This window comes from Homo sapiens, chromosome 2 (assembly GCF_000001405.40).
Source record: "Homo sapiens chromosome 2, GRCh38.p14 Primary Assembly".
In the NCBI taxonomy this organism is placed as follows: Eukaryota; Metazoa; Chordata; class Mammalia; order Primates; family Hominidae; genus Homo; species Homo sapiens.
In genome coordinates this window covers 241,755,759-241,776,398 of record NC_000002.12, presented here as the reverse complement: position 1 = coordinate 241,776,398, position 20,640 = coordinate 241,755,759, and the positions used below count along the sequence as shown (strand labels likewise).

Genomic DNA, 20,640 nt, shown 5'->3' with positions numbered 1-20,640 from the left:
CCTCCTCCTGAGCCTGCTTCACACCAAAAGAAAATCTGACTTTTTAAAATCTTGGGCTGGACAATAAGTTTGAAACAGGACATGGAGGTGGAAAATAAATATAAATATTTGTTTAGATTTTACTGCAAGAAAGTTCATTTCTCTTTTCAGGAAATAGATATTAATTCCGAGACAAGCAGCCAGGGAAATGCTGCAACATTGTGACCAGGCGCTACAGTGAATCCACAGGAAAACGCAAATGCTCCTCAGAGCTACGGGCCACGCGCCATGAGTCACCACCACCCTCGCCACATCCCACCAGCGCTGGTGCCCACCATGCCCTCCGACGCCAAGCTCTCCACACGGCTGGTCACCTTCCCACAACCCCTCCCTGTCGGTGCCAGCTGAGCCTGGATTCCGGGACTGGCCCCAGCCCAAGGCAGCCTCCCTGCCCTAGCCAGTGCCTGGCTCGGATGGGTGCAGGCCCCATAGCCATGGAGGCAGAAACAAGGCTGGGCTGAGGGGCTCAGAGGAGGGGCCGAGCACACATGGACCTCCCTGGCATCAGAGACCCTGGGCTGGGCGGCTGCTGGCGAAAGGCCCAGAGACCCCCAGCCTCCCTTCCCCATTTACCTCCACCTGCAGCCCAGGGGCCTGGCATCTCCGCCCCCGCCTAGGCATCACCCTCCCAGCTGCTCTGTAGACCTCCAGAGCCCGAGTCTGTGGGAGGGGCCAGCAGAGCAGCTCCCGGTGCTAACGGCAGGTGGGAGGGATGCCGGGGCCTTGCTGGCACGGCTGGGCAGCTCTCCACCGGCGTGCCCTGCATCCTCCGCATTCCACTATCCAGAGACATCCGTGTGGGTGTTCACTCCACCATTAAGGAGCCTCCCTGCTGCTTCCTCCACCCACCCTGCCCAGGGCACCACAGGCTCAGCCTAGGAACAAAGAAGATGGCGCCTCATGGGTCCTTACCCCAGAATCACCTTGGCCGAGCCATGTGTTACAAACGGTGGGGCCGGTGGAGAGCAACCTGCCAGGGACACACGCCTGAGGGTCACGGCCAGGCACCTCCCTACACACGCCTGAGGGTCACGACCAGATGCCTCCCTCCCAGGTCAAAGTCCCCAGCTCTCCAGATCCCAAGTGACTTATGGGGCCTGAGCAAGAAGTGTGGGCCTGGGCAGGGGGTCCTCAGCCACCAGCCACCTTCACCCCCTGCTGGGGCAGACAAGGGCAGTGCAGTGTGGTGTGGAGCGGTGGTCCCAGCCCCAGGCTGGGAAAGGGACGGAGGCCCGGCGGCCAGAGGGAGGAGGCTGCCTGTTGCCAGTGGGGCCCTGCTGGGAGCCCCAGGGAGTCAGGGTGTCTGCCCGGCCCCAGCTCCCCGCTAAGAATCAGCCGCTCTGGCAGCCTGCCTGGTCCACGGTGACTCAGGAACACCAATCAAATGCACACGTTGTTTGTCAGAGCAGATGCCCACGCCCCCATGGCAGAGCCCTAACCCCTGGGGTGCGGACGGGGCTGGCTGGAGGCCCCTCAGCTGCTTCGAGTAAGGGACAGGTCCACATGCCCAGGAACCCGCCTCCATCGGCATTGGCATTGCCGTGCCCATGTGCTCCAGTGTGTGGCCTGGTCCCACTAGGAGGGCCACACCCACCAGACCCAAGGCCGGTGGGGAGCAGCTGGGGAGCAGCCGGGAGCAGCCGAGAGCAGCCGGGAGCAGCGGGGAGCAGCCGGGGAGCAGCCGGGGAGCAGCCGGGAGCAGCGGGGAGCAGCCGGGGAGCAGCCGGGAGCAGCCGGGAGCAGCCGGGGCGCACGCACGTTACCCTCTTCAGCCGACACTGCAGGCGGGCGGGCAAGCCCAGGGCCACCTCGGGGCAGGGGCAGGGGTGGCCTAGCTCAGAACAGAGCAGTCAAAGGATGGAGTCAGCTTCTAGGTCTCAGATCCCGGGTCCGGGGCTGCAGGAAGGAAGTCTCCTGCCCCGGGCAGGCAGTGGTCGACTGTGGGCTGGGCGCTGGCAGGAGGTGGGGGCCCTACAGAACTCCCGGCCAGTCCTTCACCAGTCCAGGGCCACCCATCCGCCCACGTCCACAGAGGGCCGAGGCCACAGCCCCCAGCACTGTGCTTTGAAGTGGGCCCTGCTCCACGGTCTCTGCTTTCCGGAGTCAAGGGGCAAACCCTCACCACCAGGAAGAACAGGTTTCACCCCTTCCACCGGTGACGCTGAACACCCCTGGCCGCTGTGCATCCCATTCCCTCCCTGTCCCCAGGGCCCCAGGGCCCCAGGGCCATGGAACCCGGAAGGTAGCTCCAGGTGCCACACACTCTGCCAGAAACAAAGGGAGCATCACCTCGCTTCCTGGCCTCTGTTTGCACAGCCGCTGGCACAGGGCCTGTGGGGAGGGGCGAGGCAGGAGCCAGGAGGCCGTCTGAGGACCTGCCCACAACCCAACAGGACCCCAGCCCTGTCAGGCCGCACCCGGGCACACCCAGGAGGCACCTCCGTGCCCGTCCGCCAGGCCGGGCACTGTTCTAGAAACTTCACAGCAACTCTTGATCTCCCAGAAGGGCAGGTGGGGAGACAGGGCCCATGCTCCCTCGAGAGGATCCCCCTCTGGGGGTGGGTGCAGGAGGGCAGAGCCTTTGACTGGGGCTGCCAGGACCATGACCCCCACCAGCCCTTGTGGCCTCCTGGGTCCTGCCCTGGTCTGTCCTCCCCACACCCCTGAGGTCCAAGGGGCAGTGCTGGGGAGCACTGCCAAGGGCTTGCGCCCGCCCTGGGTCTAACCGGCTAACAAAGCGAGGAGGGGCCCGTCCCGGGGCCTCAGCCTGGGAGCAGACAGCCGCCCCAGCTCCTTGCCTGTGGGGTCCAAGGAAAAGTGAGTGGGAGGGCTCAGGTCTGTGATGTTCCACCAGGAGGAACCCGGCCCAGGGCCTAGGTGTCAGGAGGGCTCTCCTAAGACAGCCCCGAGCTTCCCAGCCCCTCCACCTGCCCCTAACCCTCAACTCAGGCTCCTGGTCCACCCCAAGGGCCCCCAGCCCTCCCCGTCCCAGGCAGCGCCACATTCTAGCAGCTATTTGCTCTCGGCCTCCCTGACCAGCTCCTTTTTATTTTTCCAGAGAGGGTCTCGCTCTGTCACCCAGGCTGGAGTGCAGTGGTGTAGTCACGTGGGGCTCCCCACAGCCTCGACCTCCTGAGCTCAGGCTTGTCCCTCCTCCCCTGTAAGAGCCTCCTGTAGCTGGAACTCTAGGTGCATGCCACCACGCCTGGCTATGTTTAATTTTTTGTAGAGGCAGAGTCTCACCATGTGTGCCCAAGCTCTTCTCAAACTCCTGGGCTCAAGCAATCCTCCCACCTCGGCCTCTCAAAGTGCTGGGATTCCAGGTGTGAGCCACCGCGCCCGGCCCTGGACCAGCTCCTCGAGGAATCATTTTTCACTCCTCTGCATCGTTTGGGTGGGTGTGGGGGTGGACACGCCTACCACACAGGCAGCTTCAGGGTCCCAGAAGGTCAGTGGCACCCCAAGGGACCCAGGCCGAGGGTAGGGCCTTTTCAGGTCACAGGTGCTCAGAGGCAGCAGAACAGGACCTAAACCCCGAGCGCTCAGGAAAGCAGCCGGCGTGAAGCCACATCGCTGGGGGGCCAACGCGCCGGGCCAGGTGGGCAGAGCCCTGGTCACTGGTCGTTAACGTGCCTGCCATCTGGGTCCAGACACACTGCCCTGTACGCCTGTCACCTCTGCCTCCATGTGGGCGAAAGTACCTAGGTGCCGAGGCAAGAGACTGAAGGCACAAACTGTTTCAGTATAATAAAGAAAATAGTTGGAATAAGATTAGTCATAATACAAATTAGATATAGAGATGATCATGGACAATTATCAATCATTATTATAAACATTATTAATCATTAGCTTTTAATATTACTCTTTGTTGCATTTCATACTCCTCCTGTACTCCTGGTTCCTCTTTGAAGTTCGTAGCAGATAGCGGTAAAACAAATAGTGAAAGTCTTAAAGTCTTTGATCTTTCTTATAAGTGCAGAGAAGAAAATGCTGACGTTTGCTGCCTTCCGTCTCTGCTTCGGCTACCTAAAAGGGAAGGGCCCCCTATCCTGTAATCACATGACTTACTTCACCTTGTCAATCACTGAGAAGATTCACCCTCCTTACCCTGCCCCCTTGTCTTGTATGCAATAAATATCAGTGGGCCTAGCCCTCTGGGACCACTACTGGTCCCCGCGTCTTGATGGTAGTGGTCCCCAGAGCCCAGCTGCTTTCTCTTTCTCTCTTTATCTTGTGTCTTTATTTATTACAATCCCTCATCTCCACACACAGGGAAAACACCCGCTAAGCCCCGTAGGGCTGGACCCTACACCTCCACACTGCCAGGATCCTGATGGACGTCCTCAGGGGCCTGCGGCGTCCCAGGAGCCCCAAACCCCAAACCCTTCCTCTGGGCTCTAAGTCCACAACTGTCAGACACCTCTGGGTCCCAACCACTTGCCCTTCTGCTTACAGGAAACTGGCTCCCCCAGGGGCTCTCCCAGGGGCCAGCCGTCCTGGGGGAGGGGAGGGGCGGGCACTCCACTCTCCCTGGGGCTGAGACCACCCGGCCCACCCCTTCTCCCCTCTCCCCTGCTGTACACAGGCAGCTCTGGCCCTGCCTGGGGCCCCTCCCACCACTCTCCTGGCCCCCTCCTTGGCCTCAGCTCAGGGGCCCTGGTTGTGTAACATCTTCTCAGATTGCAGCAGCTTAGAGGTCTTAATGTGACAATCACCAGCTTCTAATCCGAACACAAAGGCCGCCCCTGAGCACCCACCCCGCCCCGACGACCCTGGCTGGAGCCGCTGCAGAATTCCGTCAGAACCCGCCAGGCCGGAGCTGCTGCGGAAGGAACGGGGCCAGAACCCGCCTTCCTCCCCACACACGTGCTCCTCATTGCTCTTTCCGCGTGGCTGCAGGCCTCGTCAGAGCCTCCGGCTGGGAGGTTGGGACGGCGTGGAATTCTCTGCGCGTCTCTTACACACACCTGACCACGGACACTCAACGCCGTCACATGGCCGTTGGGGGAGCTGTCTCCGGGGCACCAAGGCTGGTGGCCTGCCTCACGCAGATTCGCCGCGTTCTCCTGCGTCGGAGTCACTCGGAGTCTGTGTTAACCCGCGGGCTGCGAGAACACGGCCTGCCTGGATGCGATCGGGTCTCATCAGATTTTCCTGCTGTCAGGTAGAGAAATCTAACAGGTTTCCGGCTTGTGAAAACTCCTGGCCTCCCAGCCACCACGCAGTGTGGGTTTTCCTCATGGCAGACAGGCAGTTCTTCGGGCCAGCTCGGGCCAGCCAGGTGTCTCACCGGCACCTGCTTTGCCTGGCTGTGTTGTATTTCACATATCTAAAGGCACAAAAGAAAAGCCTGAGGGGGATCTAAGAAGCCCCTCTCCCCATTGCTGGATAAACTGGAGGTGAACATGGCAGGGCAGGGCAGCAGCGGAGACGGCAGGACCCAGCCACGGAGCTCCAGGAACAAGTGCCCACGGCTGGCAGCAGGGCTGTCATGGGCAGGACGTGCCCGGCACTGGCCTGCTCCGGCCCAACGGTCACCGCAGCCTCCTGGAGCCGGACCCCCAGGGAAGAGCAGCCGCAGCCTCTTCCTCCTCCAACAGTCCTGGACTGTGTCCGCTTCCCCAGTCCCCAGAGGCCCAGCGGAAGGCAGTGTGGATGCAGAGGTCTTGCTCTCCCAGGGTCCAGAGGGCACTAGGGGGAGGAATTCCTCCTCCCCCCTCTGCAGGCACTACCAGCGGGTGTCCCTCAGCAGGCAAGGCCAGGCCTCTGCAGCCCCACAGCCCATGCTGAGCCCAGATCCTCACGGGAAGCCCGGGGCTCTGGGCTTTTCCCTGTCACCCGGCTGGCCTCTCCAACAACAGGAGTGAGCATTTAGACCACGACCAGGGCCGGAGGTCCTTAGGAAAGCAACGGACCCCAGCTCTGAGAATCACAAGTCCCTACCCAGGGTGGGACGTGGGGTCGTGCGGCCAGCACGGGCAGAAGCTTGAAAGCCCCCAAGTCACCCCTGGGCCAGCAGCAGCCACCCAGGGCAGGAGGGCAGGTGCACAGCCAGGGTCAGCGGGTCAGCAACTCACCCTGGCCTGCAGCCTACCCAGCACGGACCATGTGCCCAGTAGCAGAGCTAGAGGAACAAGCAGAAAAATGGCCGGCCCCCAACCAGAGGTCAGAGGGAAGGGCAGGAGCCGCCGGCTGACCTCGGGGGACGCGGGCACACGCTGTGGGGCTTCGTGTCAGGCACCCATGGGGCCTGGGGTCTGCTCTGTGCAACAGATACTGTCGGGCTGCCCATGGGTACCCAGCCTGGGATGGCAGAACAGTGGCCAGAGCCCAGGGACAGAGCCGGGCCTTGGCCAGTGAGGCAGGACAGCCCCAGGTGCCCCCAGGCACAGCAGGAAGTAGCCCAGGCATTGGGCGGGACCCACTGGCTCTGCTGGGCCAGCATGAAAGTGCCCCTGATTTGTGCCTTCAAAGCATGCTGGATCGGCTGGACGCAGAGGCTCGGGCCTGTAATCCCAGCACTTTGGGAGGCTGAGGTGGGAGGCCGCTGGAGGCCAGGAGTTCAAGACCAGCCTGGGCAACACAGGGACACCTCATCTCTACAAAAAAAAAAATTTAAAAATTATCTGGGCATGGCCGGGTGCGGTGGCTCATGCCTGTGATCCCAGCACTTTGGGAGGCCGAGGCGGGCAGATCATGAGGTCAGGAGATCAAGACCATCCTGGCTAAGAAGGTGAAACCCCATCTCTACTAAAAATACAAAAAATTAGCCGGGCACGGTGGTGGACACCTGTAGTCCCAGTTACTCGGGAGGCTGAGGAAGGAGAATGGCGTGAACCCGGGAGGCGGAACTTGCAGTGAGCCAAGATCGCACCACTGCACTCCAGCCTGGGTGACAGAACAAGACTCTGTCTCAAAAAAAAAAAAAAAAATTATCTGGGCATGATGGCTCACACCTGTACTCCCAGCTACTCAGGAGGCTGAGGTGGGAGGATCACTTGAGCCCAGGAGGTGGAGGCTGCACTGAGCTGTGACTATACCCCTGCACTCCAGCCTGGGTGACAGAGTGAGATCCTGTCTCAAAAAAAAAAAATCATGCTGGACCAAGGCCCCCACCCATCCCCCGAGGACCTCCACCAGGAGGACGTGGCCTGTCCACACAGAGGCCCTGGCTAGGCAGGCGGGCTCTGCAGGGCAGCGGGTCAGAGGTATGTTTCCCCCTCTGAGCAGGATCCGAGGTCCTCGACACCCACAGGGACAGGAGGGGCCCGTGGATACACCTCGGTCAGGCCCAGCTGCTGAGGGCCTCCAGGGCCACCAAGGGTTATGAGTTGCCCGTTCCATGTCCAGGCCTGCCCTGTGCAGCCGGTGGGAGCTCAGCTGCCACCAGACAGTGCATGGGGACAGGAGGCACAGTGACAGTCACAGTAGTGTCAGGCCCGGCCACACTATGGCCCCAGTGGTCCAGGGGCTGTGGGAATGGGATGCACAGGCCCTTCACAATGGGCTCTGAAAGATGATTTTCCAGTAACAGAAGCAAAGAGAAGGTTGCAACCAATTCAGATTTTTACTGGACATTCATGACAGAATGAGATGTGCATCCAGCTGCATCGCCCAGCCCATCCGCTGCCCAGGGCAGCTGACGAGCAGAAACACACTCTGCAGTGGCCCTTGTCCGTGCCGGGGCCCTCGCCCGCAGCACCGCACGTTCTTTGTAGGAGCAGAACCCGAAACTCAGAGCACAGCTTGCCCTGATAACTGTCTTCCCAGCTGGCAGCCCTCTAGAAGATGTGGGAAATGACACATTCCTGTCCAGACACAAGCCACAGTCACCCCCCTCCCGAGGGCGTCCACGGCCTGAGGGACCCGGCTCCATTCAGCAGAGCCGCAGCGCTCAGGTCCTCTCGGCAACCCACGATCACGGCCCACGTGGTCCTGCCCGTGCCCCCGCTGCCCACGCCCCCTGCTGCCCACGCATGCCCCCCGCTGCCCACGCATGCCCGGGGAACGAGCAGCAAGCAGGCAGAACCACCACCCAGCGCCTGCTCCCCAGGCCGCAGCAGGCAAGATGGGGCCAGGGGCCACCACGCAAGTGAGACCCACCCCGCTTCCACGTGGGCAAAGCTGCCGCCACCCCGGCCTGTCCAGGATGGCTGCAGAGGCCCCACCTCGCCCTGCAAAGGAGGGTGCCTGCCACGCCCCCCACTCTGCCAGATGCTCCTGCCCGAGGGCCTGCGTCCGGCAGTTCCCCAGTGCGGGCTCCCAGTCCCTTCAACCAGGTGCCTGGTCCCCTGCCCACTGCCGGCTCATCCCTCAGAGCCACCGCAACACCCCCGCCCGAGAGCCACCCGCCGACCCCCAGTGGGCCTTGGCAGCAGCAGGAGTGGCCGTCAGGCCTGGCTGGGCAGCGTCTTGTAGGGGTTGAGGATGCCCTTGGGGTCCAGCAGGGCCTTGAGCTGCTGCATGAGCTGCAGGGCCCCCGGTGGCTTGCTGTAGCCCAGGACGTCCCTCTTCCTGAAGCCCACTCCGTGCTCCGCGCTGACGCTGCCCTGCTGCCCGGCCGTCCACTCGTACACGTGGGGCTCCAGGGCAGCCAGGAGCGAGGGGCTGAAGGCCTCCGCCGTCACATTGAGGTGCAGGTTACCATCTCCTGGAGGGACAAGGGCACATGGGTCAGGCTGGGCAGGGCAGCCCCCAGGACCCCACTCCTCCCCCAACAGCCCCTCCCAAGATCCCCTCCCCAGCAACCCCGAGACCCCCGGCTGAGCCTCACCCTCATGCCACTCGCCCTGGACGTGCCGACCCCTCCTCTGGGGCCGCTGCTACCTTGGCTTCTCCCTGCTTCTCTCCCCAAGTTCTCCCCCCTCTTCCTACTCCCTCAGCCCGGGGCTCCCATCTCCCCAACTTCTCCCCCCTCTTCCTACTCCCTCAGCCCGGGGCTCCCATCTCCCCAACTTCTCCCCCCTCTTCCTACTCCCTCAGCCCGGGGCTCCCATCTCCCCAACTTCTCCCCCCTCTTCCTACTCCCTCAGCCCGGGGCTCCCATCTCCCCAACTTCTCCCCCCTCTTCCTACTCCCTCAGCCCGGGGCTCCCATCTCCCCAACTTCTCCCCCCTCTTCCTACTCCCTCAGCCCGGGGCTCCCATCTCCCCAACTTCTCCCCCCTCTTCCTACTCCCTCAGCCCGGGGCTCCCATCTCCCCAACTTCTCCCCCCTCTTCCTACTCCCTCAGCCCGGGGCTCCCATCTCCCCAACTTCTCCCCCCTCTTCCTACTCCCTCAGCCCGGGGCTCCCATCTCCCCAACTTCTCCCCCCTCTTCCTACTCCCTCAGCCCGGGGCTCCCATCTCCCCAACTTCTCCCCCCTCTTCCTACTCCCTCAGCCCGGGGCTCCCATCTCCCCAACTTCTCCCCCCTCTTCCTACTCCCTCAGCCCGGGGCTCCCATCTCCCCAACTTCTCCCCCCTCTTCCTACTCCCTCAGCCCGGGGCTCCCATCTCCCCAAGTTCTCCCCCCTCTTCCTACTCCCTCAGCCCGGGGCTCCCATCTCCCCAAGTTCTCCCCCCTCTTCCTACTCCCTCAGCCCGGGGCTCCCATCTCCCCAAGTTCTCCCCCCTCTTCCTACTCCCTCAGCCCGGGGCTCCCATCTCCCCAACTTCTCCCCCCTCTTCCTACTCCCTCAGCCCGGGGCTCCCATCTCCCCAACTTCTCCCCCCTCTTCCTACTCCCTCAGCCCGGGGCTCCCATCTCCCCAACTTCTCCCCCCTCTTCCTACTCCCTCAGCCCGGGGCTCCCATCTCCCCAACTTCTCCCCCCTCTTCCTACTCCCTCAGCCCGGGGCTCCCATCTCCCCAACTTCTCCCCCCTCTTCCTACTCCCTCAGCCCGGGGCTCCCATCTCCCCAAGTTCTCCCCCCTCTTCCTACTCCCTCAGCCCGGGGCTCCCATCTCCCCAAGTTCTCCCCCCTCTTCCTACTCCCTCAGCCCGGGGCTCCCATCTCCCCACCTTCTCCCCCCTCTTCCTACTCCCTCAGCCCGGGGCTCCCATCTCCCCAACTTCTCCCCCCTCTTCCTACTCCCTCAGCCCGGGGCTCCCATCTCCCCAACTTCTCCCCCCTCTTCCTACTCCCTCAGCCCGGGGCTCCCATCTCCCCAACTTCTCCCCCCTCTTCCTACTCCCTCAGCCCGGGGCTCCCATCTCCCCAACTTCTCCCCCCTCTTCCTACTCCCTCAGCCCGGGGCTCCCATCTCCCCAAGTTCTCCCCCCTCTTCCTACTCACTCAGCCCGGGGCTCCCATCTCCCCAAGTTCTCCCCCCTCTTCCTACTCCCTCAGCCCGGGGCTCCCATCTCCCCAACTTCTCCCCCCTCTTCCTACTCCCTCAGCCCGGGGCTCCCATCTCCCCAACTTCTCCCCCCTCTTCCTACTCCCTCAGCCCGGGGCTCCCATCTCCCCAACTTCTCCCCCCTCTTCCTACTCCCTCAGCCCGGGGCTCCCATCTCCCCAACTTCTCCCCCCTCTTCCTACTCCCTCAGCCCGGGGCTCCCATCTCCCCACCTTCTCCCCCCTCTTCCTACTCCCTCAGCCCGGGGCTCCCATCTCCCCAACTTCTCCCCCCTCTTCCTACTCCCTCAGCCCGGGGCTCCCATCTCCCCAACTTCTCCCCCCTCTTCCTACTCCCTCAGCCCGGGGCTCCCATCTCCCCAACTTCTCCCCCCTCTTCCTACTCCCTCAGCCCGGGGCTCCCATCTCCCCAACTTCTCCCCCCTCTTCCTACTCCCTCAGCCCGGGGCTCCCATCTCCCCAACTTCTCCCCCCTCTTCCTACTCCCTCAGCCCGGGGCTCCCATCTCCCCAACTTCTCCCCCCTCTTCCTAATCCCTCAGCCCGGGGCTCCCATCTCCCCAAGTTCTCCCCCCTCTTCCTACTCCCTCAGCCCGGGGCTCCCATCTCCCCAAGTTCTCCCCCCTCTTCCTACTCCCTCAGCCCGGGGCTCCCATCTCCCCAAGTTCTCCCCCCTCTTCCTACTCCCTCAGCCCGGGGCTCCCATCTCCCCAAGTTCTCCCCCCTCTTCCTACTCCCTCAGCCCGGGGCTCCCATCTCCCCAGGCAGAGAGCGGCCACCTGAGTTACCGCATGGCCTGCCACTGCCTCCCTCCTGACCTGGAAGAGTCCAGACCGTCTTCCAGTCTGTATCCCCAGCACCTGGTCGGATGGAGGGGTCCGCAGTGGCGCCCAGGGCAGCTCTATCTGGACGCCCCCACCCCCATGGGTGTCGCCCCTGGAGCTGCCCAGCCAGTGCCCACTGCAGACAAAGTCCTGGCTCCCAGCTGCCTCCTCTCTGGTCCACTTAGCCCACACTGAGCCCCCAGGGCAGCAGCTCTCCAAGCACACCCTGGCCCTGGCCCGCCCCACGCACAACCTCCTCTTCTGACCTCAGAGGTCAAGAAGGCGACGGCTCAGAGAAGAGGCTGGGGACAGCCAGGGTCAGAGTGAAGTGAGGACCCCGCCCCACCTCCGGGCCAGCAGGAGAGGGAGCCAGAAACCAGCTCAAGGGCTGCCCAGACAAGGACAGCGGCTTTTAACGCAGAGCTGCACACCGAGGAGGAGCTCCAGAGGCAAACCAGGACGCACCACCCCAAACTGTGCCATGTTGGGGTGAGGGCTGTTTTCCCACAAAGGCAACTGAGAAGCGGCAGATCCAAGGAAAGCTCCCCCAACTCAGGTCCTGCCTCAGAGCGGCACAGGAATGACTGACAAGGGCAAGGCCCCTCCCTCCACCAGAACCGACAAAGGTCGAGGCAGCTTCAGGCCCTGCCGTCCTCTGCCAGCTCCCTGCCTCCTCCGAGATGCCACCTGGAGACTCATAGTCCATGTCCTGTCATGTGACATCCCTAAAATTTGACTGTTTGTTGAAGACGCCACGTGGGCCTGAATTCACAGCCAGCTCTTTGAGAATCACTCATTCCCTGGCCACTCCCAAGTAGACGTGAAACATGCACGTCATGAGCCTCTGTTATTTCTCCTGTTAATCTGTCTGTAGCTGCAGGGTCCATCCCAGCTGGGAACTAGAAAGGGTAGACAGAAAACTATTTCTCCACCCCTACGAGAACAAACCCCAGGCAGGGAGTACAGCAGGGACCCCTCCCACAGTCCCCGTCGCCCCCCAGTCCCCGCCCCTCCCACAGTCCCCACGGATGCGTGCTCAGGCCAGAGAGGGCTGAACACATCCCCTGCCCGGGGACTTGCCCAGGAAGGACTGGTTGTGAAAGAAGAAAAACCACATCCACAGAATATGTTCATTTGGTTTTGTTTTTTTGAGACAGGGTCTCCCTCTGTCACCCAGGCCGGAGGGCAGTAGAGTGATCGTGGCTCACACTTCAACCTCCTGTGCTCAGTCAGTCCTCCCACCTCTGCCTCCTGAGTAGCTGGGACTGCAGGCATGTACCACCATGCCTGGCTGATTATTTTTTTTGTAGAAACGGCGGGTGGTCGGGGGTGGGGGGCCGGTCTCACCATGTTGCCCAGGCTGGTCTTGAACTCCTGACCTCAAGCAGTCCTCCCACCTCAGCTTCCCAAAGCGCTGAGATTACAGGTGTGAGCCACGTGCCTGGCGTCCACAAAGTATGTGAATACAGTCACGCTTCATAACAACGTTTCACCCAACCCCGGACCACAGAGATGATGCTGGCCCCATAACATTAAAATGGAGCTGAAAAACTGCCATCACCTTAATGACGATGTCACCATGTTGTAGCACAATTACTTGTTAATATCAGTTTAGTGTGGCCTCAGTGTGCAGCATTTATAAAGTCTAGAGTAGAGTACGGTCATCTCCTAGGCCTTCGCAACCCCTCACGCTCACCCACTGCCTCGCCAGAGCAACCTCCAGTCCCGCGAGACCCACTCGTGATGGGCACCCCAGGCAGGTGTGGCATTTTTACCTTTTATACCATACTTTTACGGTCCCTTTTCTAGGATTAGCTTTTGTGTTCAGGCACATACTCAGCATTATGTCACAACTGCTTCCGGCATTAAGTGGATGACAGCTGTGGTTTGTCACCTAGGGGCAATGGCTACACCACACAGCCTTGGTGTGGAAGAGGCTGTCCCATCTGGGTGTGAGTGCCCTCCGTGATGCTCACACAAAACGAAACCACCTAATGACACATTTCTCAGGACGCATCCCCATCATTCAGCAACACCCAACTGTATTCCCGAGCAACGGCGGCCTGCACCCGGAACTCACGCTGCCTCGGGTCCCAAAGGCTGAGAATGTGGAGATTAAAGAGGTTCCGGGCGGGGCCCCAGGCCCTCACCCTCCCCACCCACTGCAGAAGCAAACCACCTCCCCTGCAGGCCTCAAATAATTCCTACAGATAAAAATCTAACGAATATGAGCTCATGCCAAAAATCACACACACAAGAAGACAAACCACCACGGCTAAGGTCAGAATCAGACCCACAAACACCTCAGACGCTGTCATTTCCAGACACAGAACACAAACGTGTCATGTGTAAAGAAATAAGAGACAAAAATATAAAACCAAAAAATCTGACCAAGCAATTTTTAAATATCCACGCCAATCTTCCGGAGATGAAATGCATCATGGCTGGCCTGTGGACCTTAGCAGACAGATCTGACGGCCGATCACACACGGCAGAGAACGCCAAGCTGGAGACACTGCAAATAGCATCCAAACCTGAGAGGCGGGACCCTGGCAGCAGCCGATAAGAAACAAGGGGGCTTGGACTGAGTTCCAAGAGGAGAACAGAGGAAGGGGAGAAACGGTGTTTGAAGAGGCTCTGGTGGCTGAGGAATTTCTAAAGCCAGCAAGACCCCAAAGCCCAAGAAGTGCCAGGCAGGTAAACACTCACCCGGCCAACAGGCAGGTAAACAAACACTCATCTGGCCGACTCCCGGCCAAACCAGAGTGAAACCGCAGAACCCCAAAGACAATGGAAGGAGCTGAAAGCAGCAAAAAGGAAAAAGCAGGCTGGGCGCGGTGGCTCACACCTGCAATCTCAGCACTTTGGGAGACTGAGGCGGGTGGATCACGAGGTCAGGAGTTCGAGACCAGCCTGGCCAATATGGTGAAACCCCATCTCTACTAAAAATGCAAAAATTAGCCGGGTGTGGTGGCACACGCCTGTAATCCCAGCTGCTCGGGAGGCTGAGGCAGGAGAATCGCCTGAACCCGGGAGGCGGACGTTGCAGTGAGCCAAGATCGCACCACTGCACTCCAGCCTGGGTGACAGAGCGGGACTCCATCTCAAAAAAAAAAAAAAAAAAAAGGAAAAGAAAAAGAAAGAAATTATTTATTTCCCTCTGTTCCCTCCATTCCCCCGAAGGGAACTGCCCTGAACTGAGGCTGTCTCCGCACCAGCAGACATCAGAAGAGAGAACAGAGACTCCCTCCTGCTGCTGGGAAGCAACTGTCAACCCAGAACCACGGAAATCCACTGAGGAAAAGACATTTTTATCAACTAAATCAGTACATTTCCAGACAAAGAAAATCTGAGCTGTTCCGTCACCTATTTTTCCATGCCAGGGAAAATTCTGGAGGCTGAGATTCAAGCAGAAGCTGTGTGCAAACTGGCTACGCAGAATCAGGATGGTGACATGGTGACAGGGTTATGTGTGACTGAACAAGGCAGAACCAGAATACACCACCGAACAGCATGCAGGTGCCCCTCAGTGTCCCTGGGGGACTGGATACAGGACCCCTCGGATATCAAAATCCTGAGATGCTCGAGTCTCTGACAGGAAATGGCATAGGATTTGCATATAAACTACACACATCCTCCTGTATACTTTTCTTTCTTGAGACGGAGTTTCGCTCTTTTGCCCAGGCTGGAGTGAAGTGGCACAACCTCGCCTCACTGCAACCTCCGCCTCCCAGATTCAAGCAATTCTCCTGCCTCAGCCTCCCAAGCAGCTGGGATTACAGGCACACGCCACCATGCCTGGCTAATTTTTGTATTTTTAGTAGAGATGGGGTGTCACCATGTTGGCCAGGCTGGTATTGAACTCCTGACCTCCGGTGATCCACCCGCTTTGGCCTCCCGTATTGCTGGGATTACAGACGTGAGCCACTGTGCCCGGCCCCTCCTGTATACTTTAAATCACCTCTAGATTACTTACGATTCCTGGTACGACGGAAATGCTGTGTCTGTCACTGTTATACTACATCGTCTTTTGTTTATTTTTTATTGTTGTATTGTTATTTTTATGGTTGAATCTGCAGATGTGGAGCCCGCAAATACAGGGGCCACCATAAACTGGGGGGTAAACGACAGCCAAAGTGACGGGGCCCTGAAGTCCTCGCACTGTGCAGCCATCAGGGCTCCCAGAGAGGCAGAACCAGCAGGATGTGTGTGTACAGACAGTGCGAGCAAGAGTGAGATTATACATATTTAGAGAAACAAACAGAGAGAGAAAGATGGAGAGACACACTGAGACACAGGGAGATGACAGACACTGATTTTAATGAACTGACTCATGTGACTGAGGGAGCTAAGTCTAAAATCTGAAGTCCAGGTCAGCAGGCTGGAGATCCCAGCAGGAGCTGGTGCTGCAGCTTGAGTCTCCATCTGGGTCAGAATCCTCTCTTCCTTAAGAGATCTTAGATTTCTGCTCTTGTGGCCTTCGACTGATTGGGTAAGGCCCACCCACGCTGTGTCGAAGTCCTTCGACTGATTGGGTAAGGCCCACCCACACTGTGGCAAAGGACTTCGACTGATTGGGTAAGGCCCACCCACACTGTGGCGAAGGACTTCGACTGATTGGGCAAGGCCCACCCACGCTGTGTCAAAGGCCTTTGACTGATTGGGTAAGGCCCACCCACGCTGTGGCAAAGGCCTTTGACTGGGTAAGGCCCACCCACGCTGTGGCAAAAAGCCTTCAACTGATTGCGTAAGGCCCACCCACGCTGTGGCAAAAAGCCTTCGACTGATTGGGTAAGGCCCACCCACGCTGTGGCAAAGGCCTTCGACTGATTGGGTAAGGCCCACCCACACTGTAGCAAAGGCCTTCGACTGATTGGGTAAGGCCCACCCACGCTGTGGCGAAGTCCTTCGACTGATTGGGTAAGGCCCACCCACACTGTAGCAAAGGCCTTCGACTGATTGGGTAAGGCCCACCCACGCTGTGGCGAAGTCCTTCGACTGATTGGGTAAGGCCCACCCACACTGTAGCAAAGGCCTTCGACTGATTGGGTAAGGCCCACCCACGCTGTGGCGAAGTCCTTCGACTGATTGGGTAAGGCCCACCCATGCTGTGGCGAAGGCCTTCGACTGGGTAAGGCCCACCCACGCTGTGGCGAAGTCCTTCGACTGATTGGGTAAGGCCCACCCACACTGTGGTGGGAGATCTCCTGTACTCAACGTCTACTGATTTAAATGTTAATCACACATAAAAAATATCTTCACAGAAACATCCAAACTGGAGTTTGACCAAACGAGGGTACCAGGGCCCAGACAAGTGGACGCAGAGAATTCACCATCACACATTATTTGGGAGGAAGATAGTGACTCTGATTAACCTCAAACCCAGAGGGCTAGAAATGTCCACTGTGGTGCCAGGGCGACCACCAACAGTTAGTAAACGGCAAAAAGCTAAATGACAAAGAACATAAACCAGAAGAGCAAAAAACAGAGGAAAAAATAGACAAGAAGTGAGAGACAAAGAGCAGGGTGAAGTAGACAAATCCAAACAGTGGGCCACAGCACGTGCTCAGCAGCCAAACGCTCTCATTCAAGACGGCAAACAAGTACGCAAGAAACCTGTCCGGGGGCGTCCACAAGAAACACATCTAAATCACTAAGGATGGAAAAGCTGAAGCTAACCGGAGGAAAAACAACACATCAGGCAAACACTAAATAAAAGAAAGTTAGCATCACTGTGTAATAAACAAAGCAGACACCAAGGCAGCGGGCAATGCTGGAGATAAAGAGCGAGTCCATCGCGTTAGGAGATTCAGTTTCCCAAAACAAAGAGACGAACCTCATGTCCTATGCCCCTAAGAACACGTCTCCAGAACTGGCAAAGCTACAGGAGGAACAGATTAGTCTGTTGTCAGCAGATTTCTAACACCTCCCTCAGGGAGTGGCAGGTCAGCAGGATGTAGAATGAACACGCGACGTATACTTCTATCTGATGGATCTGTACAAACACTGATTCCAGCAACTGCAGAGAGCACATTCTTTTCAAGCACTCCACAGTTACGAAGGCTGATCATAAGCTGCCACTGATCAAGTTTCAAAAATCTGATCTGATAAGGACGAAGTTTCCTGGGTATAATGCAATAAAAAAGAAATCAATAATTTTTAAAATAACTAGAAAACCACCACGTTTGGAAATTAAGAAACACACTTCTGCATAACTCATCGGTCAAAGAAGGAATGATAATGCAAGCAGCAAATAATGCCAGGCACAGTACCTCACGCCTGTAATCTCTGGCTTTGAGAGGCCAAGGAGGGAGCATTTGCTTGAGGCCCCGGAGTTCAAGACCGGTCCGGCCACACAACTGGCTCTACATGAGTCTGGCTCTACACACACACACACACACACACACACACACACACACACACACATATATTGTGGGGCGGGGGGCGGTATAGATCAGATGTCACTGTGTTGCCCAGGCTGGTCTAGAACTACTGGACTCCAGTGATCCTTCCAGCCTTGGCTTCCTGAAGTACTGAGATTATAGGCGTGAACCACTGCACCGGGCCTACAAAAAAATTTTTTTTTAGTTAGCCAGGCCTGCTGGTGTGTGTGAGGTGGCGGGCCTGCTTGATCCCAGAAGGTCGAGGCTGTGGTGAGCCACTGCACTCCAGCCTGGGTGACAGCGAGACCCTGTCCCCACCAAAAAAAAGGGTGTGGGGGCATCCCACAAATGCTACATAAAAAGACAACAAAAGAATATTCGAACAACTTTATGCCAATATGGGAAAAAATTAGCAATACCAATCTAGAAGAAAGGAAAGCTTGAAAGTCCTAAAGCTATTGAAGAAGCTGAGCTATAATTTTAAAATACTCCCTCAAAAAAACCTCCAGGCCCAAACAGCTCCACTGGCAAGTTCTGCATAATATTCATGTTATGATTTTGATACCAAAATCCAGCATGGACAGAAGAAAGGAACAGCGTGGAACAGAATCATCCACCAAGACCCCTGTCAAAATCCCACACCAAACATAAACAAACTCATCCAGCAAGATACAGAAAGGATCATGGCCACCTTGGGCCTACCCCAGAAACACAGACTCATCTGACTCCAGAGGGATCAATCAGTGTAACTTACCACACTGATTACAGGCAGACAAGCACCCGGTCACCATGACAGATGCAGGAAACACATTTTAAAAATTCAACATTCATTCTTGCTTTTTTTTTTTTTTTTGAGATGGAGTTTCACTCTTGTCACCCAGGCTGGAGTGCAATGGTGCAACCTCTGCTCACTGCAACCTCCGCCTCCTGGGTTCAAGTGATTCTCCTGCTTCAGCCTCCCGAGTAGCTGGGATTACAGGTGCCTGCCACCATGCCCAGTTAATTTTTTGTATTTTTAGTAGAGGCGAGGTTTCATCATGTTGGCCGGGCTGGTGTCGAACTCCTGACCTCAGGTGATCCACCCGCCTCAGCCTCCCAAAGTGCTGGGATTACAGGCATGAACCACTGCGCCTGGCCCATTCTTGCTTTTACAAAGTAACAGAGGGCTCATTCCATTTCTCACCAAGATGGTCTGCTTTATCTGTGGCCAAGAGAGACTGAAGTTACCTGGAGAGGAGGAAGCCTCCTCCTGGCTTGAGGTCATATTCTGAAATATTGGGGATCCCGTACCCCTCTTCTCTGGATGATGACACACTCATCATGCCCTTAACCCCTTCCCATATTCTGAAATATTGGGGCTCCCGTACCCCTCTTCTCTGGATGATGACACACTCATCATGCCCTTACCCCCTTCCCATATTCTGAAATACTGGGGCTCCCGTACCCCTCTTCTCTGGATGATGACACACTCATCATGCCCTTACCCCCTTCCCATTCAGGAGTCCTGCCTTCCTATCACAGAAGATTACCATCCATCCTATGTCAAATCCTCCAGATGTACCCCTCCACAGGCTGGGCAACTTTGGGCAAGTTACTTAAATTCTCTGAACCTGTTTACATGTGTGTAAAAGGGAAGCAACACCACCAGTCCTAAAAGCTGTTGTGCAGAGAAGTTTCTCCACATCAAGTGCTTAGAATAATGCCTGGGACAGCACGGGACCTTCGTAAGTAATACGTGTTATTGTCGTCACGTACACAACCCTAGACCCTCCTGTAACCACAGAGGTGGCACCTGAATCCCATTTACTGGCAGATGGATGGAGGCTTCAGGTCAGTGACTCCAGTGCCACCAGGCCAGGGAAGAAGCCAGAGTGAATATCTGTCAGGCCCCAAAGCCATGCTCCACACCCCCAGCACTGCCCCCACCCCTGCCCTATAAGCTGGCCTTTTAGACACCTCGCTCCAAGGCTCCAAAGAACTGACAGGAAAACAGCTGGGCACGGTGGCTCACTCCTGTAATCCCAGCACTTTGAGAGGCCGAAGTGGGCAGATCACCAGAGGTCAGGAGTTCAAGACCAGCCTGGCCAACATGGCAAAACCCTGTCTCTACTAAAAATACAAAAATTAGCCAGGCCTGGTGGTGGACGCCTGTAATCCCAGAGACTCGGGAGGCTGGGGCAGGAGAATTGCTTGAACCCAGAAGATGGAGGTTGCAGTGAGCCGAGATTGCGCCACTGCACTCCAGCCTGGGTGACAAGAGTGAAACTGCGTCTCAAAAAAAAGAACTGATAGGATTGAAACATTTTCTTCCTATGAATTAATAGCTTACACGTTAAAGCATGATTTTTCTGCAGAAAAAAGATGATCTGAACGTGGTTTTGAAATCCTCCCATCTGAAGGGGTAGAGCAGCTGGGGGCTAAGCACTGCAAAGGCCTCGGGGCCGGGCCCTGTGAGAGGAGCCCCTGAGACCCGCATCCCGGACTCCGGGGTTAAGGCTGATGCCCTCCAACCCTGCATGCCACTGAAGATCCCAGAACGTTCTGACAAGCTGAGCCATGCGCTCTGCCATTACAAGTGCACGATGGCAGTCTTTTCCAAAATACTCAAAACGAGTCATGACAACGATTAGGATTTTCCCTTCCCTGTCAGACACCGTGGTCCTGCCAGTGTCTACGGGAGATATGCTAAGCCAGAGACCATGGTCAAACTGCCCTGCCTCGAAGCCTGGCAGGGTGACGGTGACCGTGGGGCCCACCACCCAGCACACACAGGGCCGCGGCCCCGGGGCGCCGCTCACCAAGGTGGCCATAGCCCACCACGTGCTTGGCGTGCGGGCCGAGGCGGGCGCGCAGGTCAGTCACGATGTCGTAGAGCCGCTCCACAGGGAGGGAGAGGTCGTACTTGTACACGTAGCCATCCCGGCTCAGCGCCTCTGTGATCCTTTCCCTCAGGGCCCACAGCATCTAGAGGATGAGACGAGATGAGACAAGGGCTGGCTATGGGAACGACACCCGGGGACAGGGGGCACACCACACGGGGTTAGGGCAGCAGCA

General features: G+C 57.9%; 1 protein-coding gene across 8 annotated transcripts in view, besides 4 other annotated features; it reads right to left on the bottom strand.

Annotated features, from left to right (window-relative positions):
• Nucleotides 765–1,385: an enhancer, noted in NCBI's record as "H3K4me1 hESC enhancer chr2:242714429-242715049 (GRCh37/hg19 assembly coordinates)". NCBI's record gives its function as "activates a minimal SCP1, AML or CMV promoter by ChIP-STARR-seq in naive H9 embryonic stem cells {active_cell/tissue: H9 hESC(naive)}" and the evidence as "EXISTENCE:reporter gene assay evidence [ECO:0000049][PMID:30033119]".
• Nucleotides 4,724–5,636: an enhancer, noted in NCBI's record as "H3K27ac-H3K4me1 hESC enhancer chr2:242710178-242711090 (GRCh37/hg19 assembly coordinates)". NCBI's record gives its function as "activates a minimal SCP1, AML or CMV promoter by ChIP-STARR-seq in primed H9 embryonic stem cells {active_cell/tissue: H9 hESC(primed)}" and the evidence as "EXISTENCE:reporter gene assay evidence [ECO:0000049][PMID:30033119]".
• Nucleotides 7,588–20,640, bottom strand: part of D2HGDH (D-2-hydroxyglutarate dehydrogenase) — a 34,182-nt gene continuing 21,129 nt past the window's right edge. For 4 of the 8 annotated variants that reach the window (NR_109778.2, NM_152783.5, NM_001352824.2 and 1 more), the window contains 2 exons: nucleotides 20,385–20,550; nucleotides 7,588–8,689 (listed from right to left, as the gene is read on the bottom strand). Coding sequence is in view for 6 of the 8 variants with exons in the window: in NM_152783.5 (NP_689996.4) it covers nucleotides 8,430–8,689; nucleotides 20,385–20,550 (426 nt within the window). In the remaining 2 variants the exon portion in view is untranslated. Of the gene's footprint in view, nucleotides 8,690–20,384; nucleotides 20,551–20,640 lie in introns of those variants that run through there. The other 4 variants (XM_011511750.4, XM_047445718.1, XM_011511756.3 and 1 more) reach the window with 2 other exon arrangements.
• Nucleotides 11,502–12,115: an enhancer, noted in NCBI's record as "H3K4me1 hESC enhancer chr2:242703699-242704312 (GRCh37/hg19 assembly coordinates)". NCBI's record gives its function as "activates a minimal SCP1, AML or CMV promoter by ChIP-STARR-seq in naive H9 embryonic stem cells {active_cell/tissue: H9 hESC(naive)}" and the evidence as "EXISTENCE:reporter gene assay evidence [ECO:0000049][PMID:30033119]".
• Nucleotides 15,479–15,679: a silencer, noted in NCBI's record as "peak4107 fragment used in MPRA reporter construct". NCBI's record gives its function as "represses an SCP1 promoter by STARR-seq MPRAs in K562 erythroleukemia cells {active_cell/tissue: K562}" and the evidence as "EXISTENCE:reporter gene assay evidence [ECO:0000049][PMID:32103011]".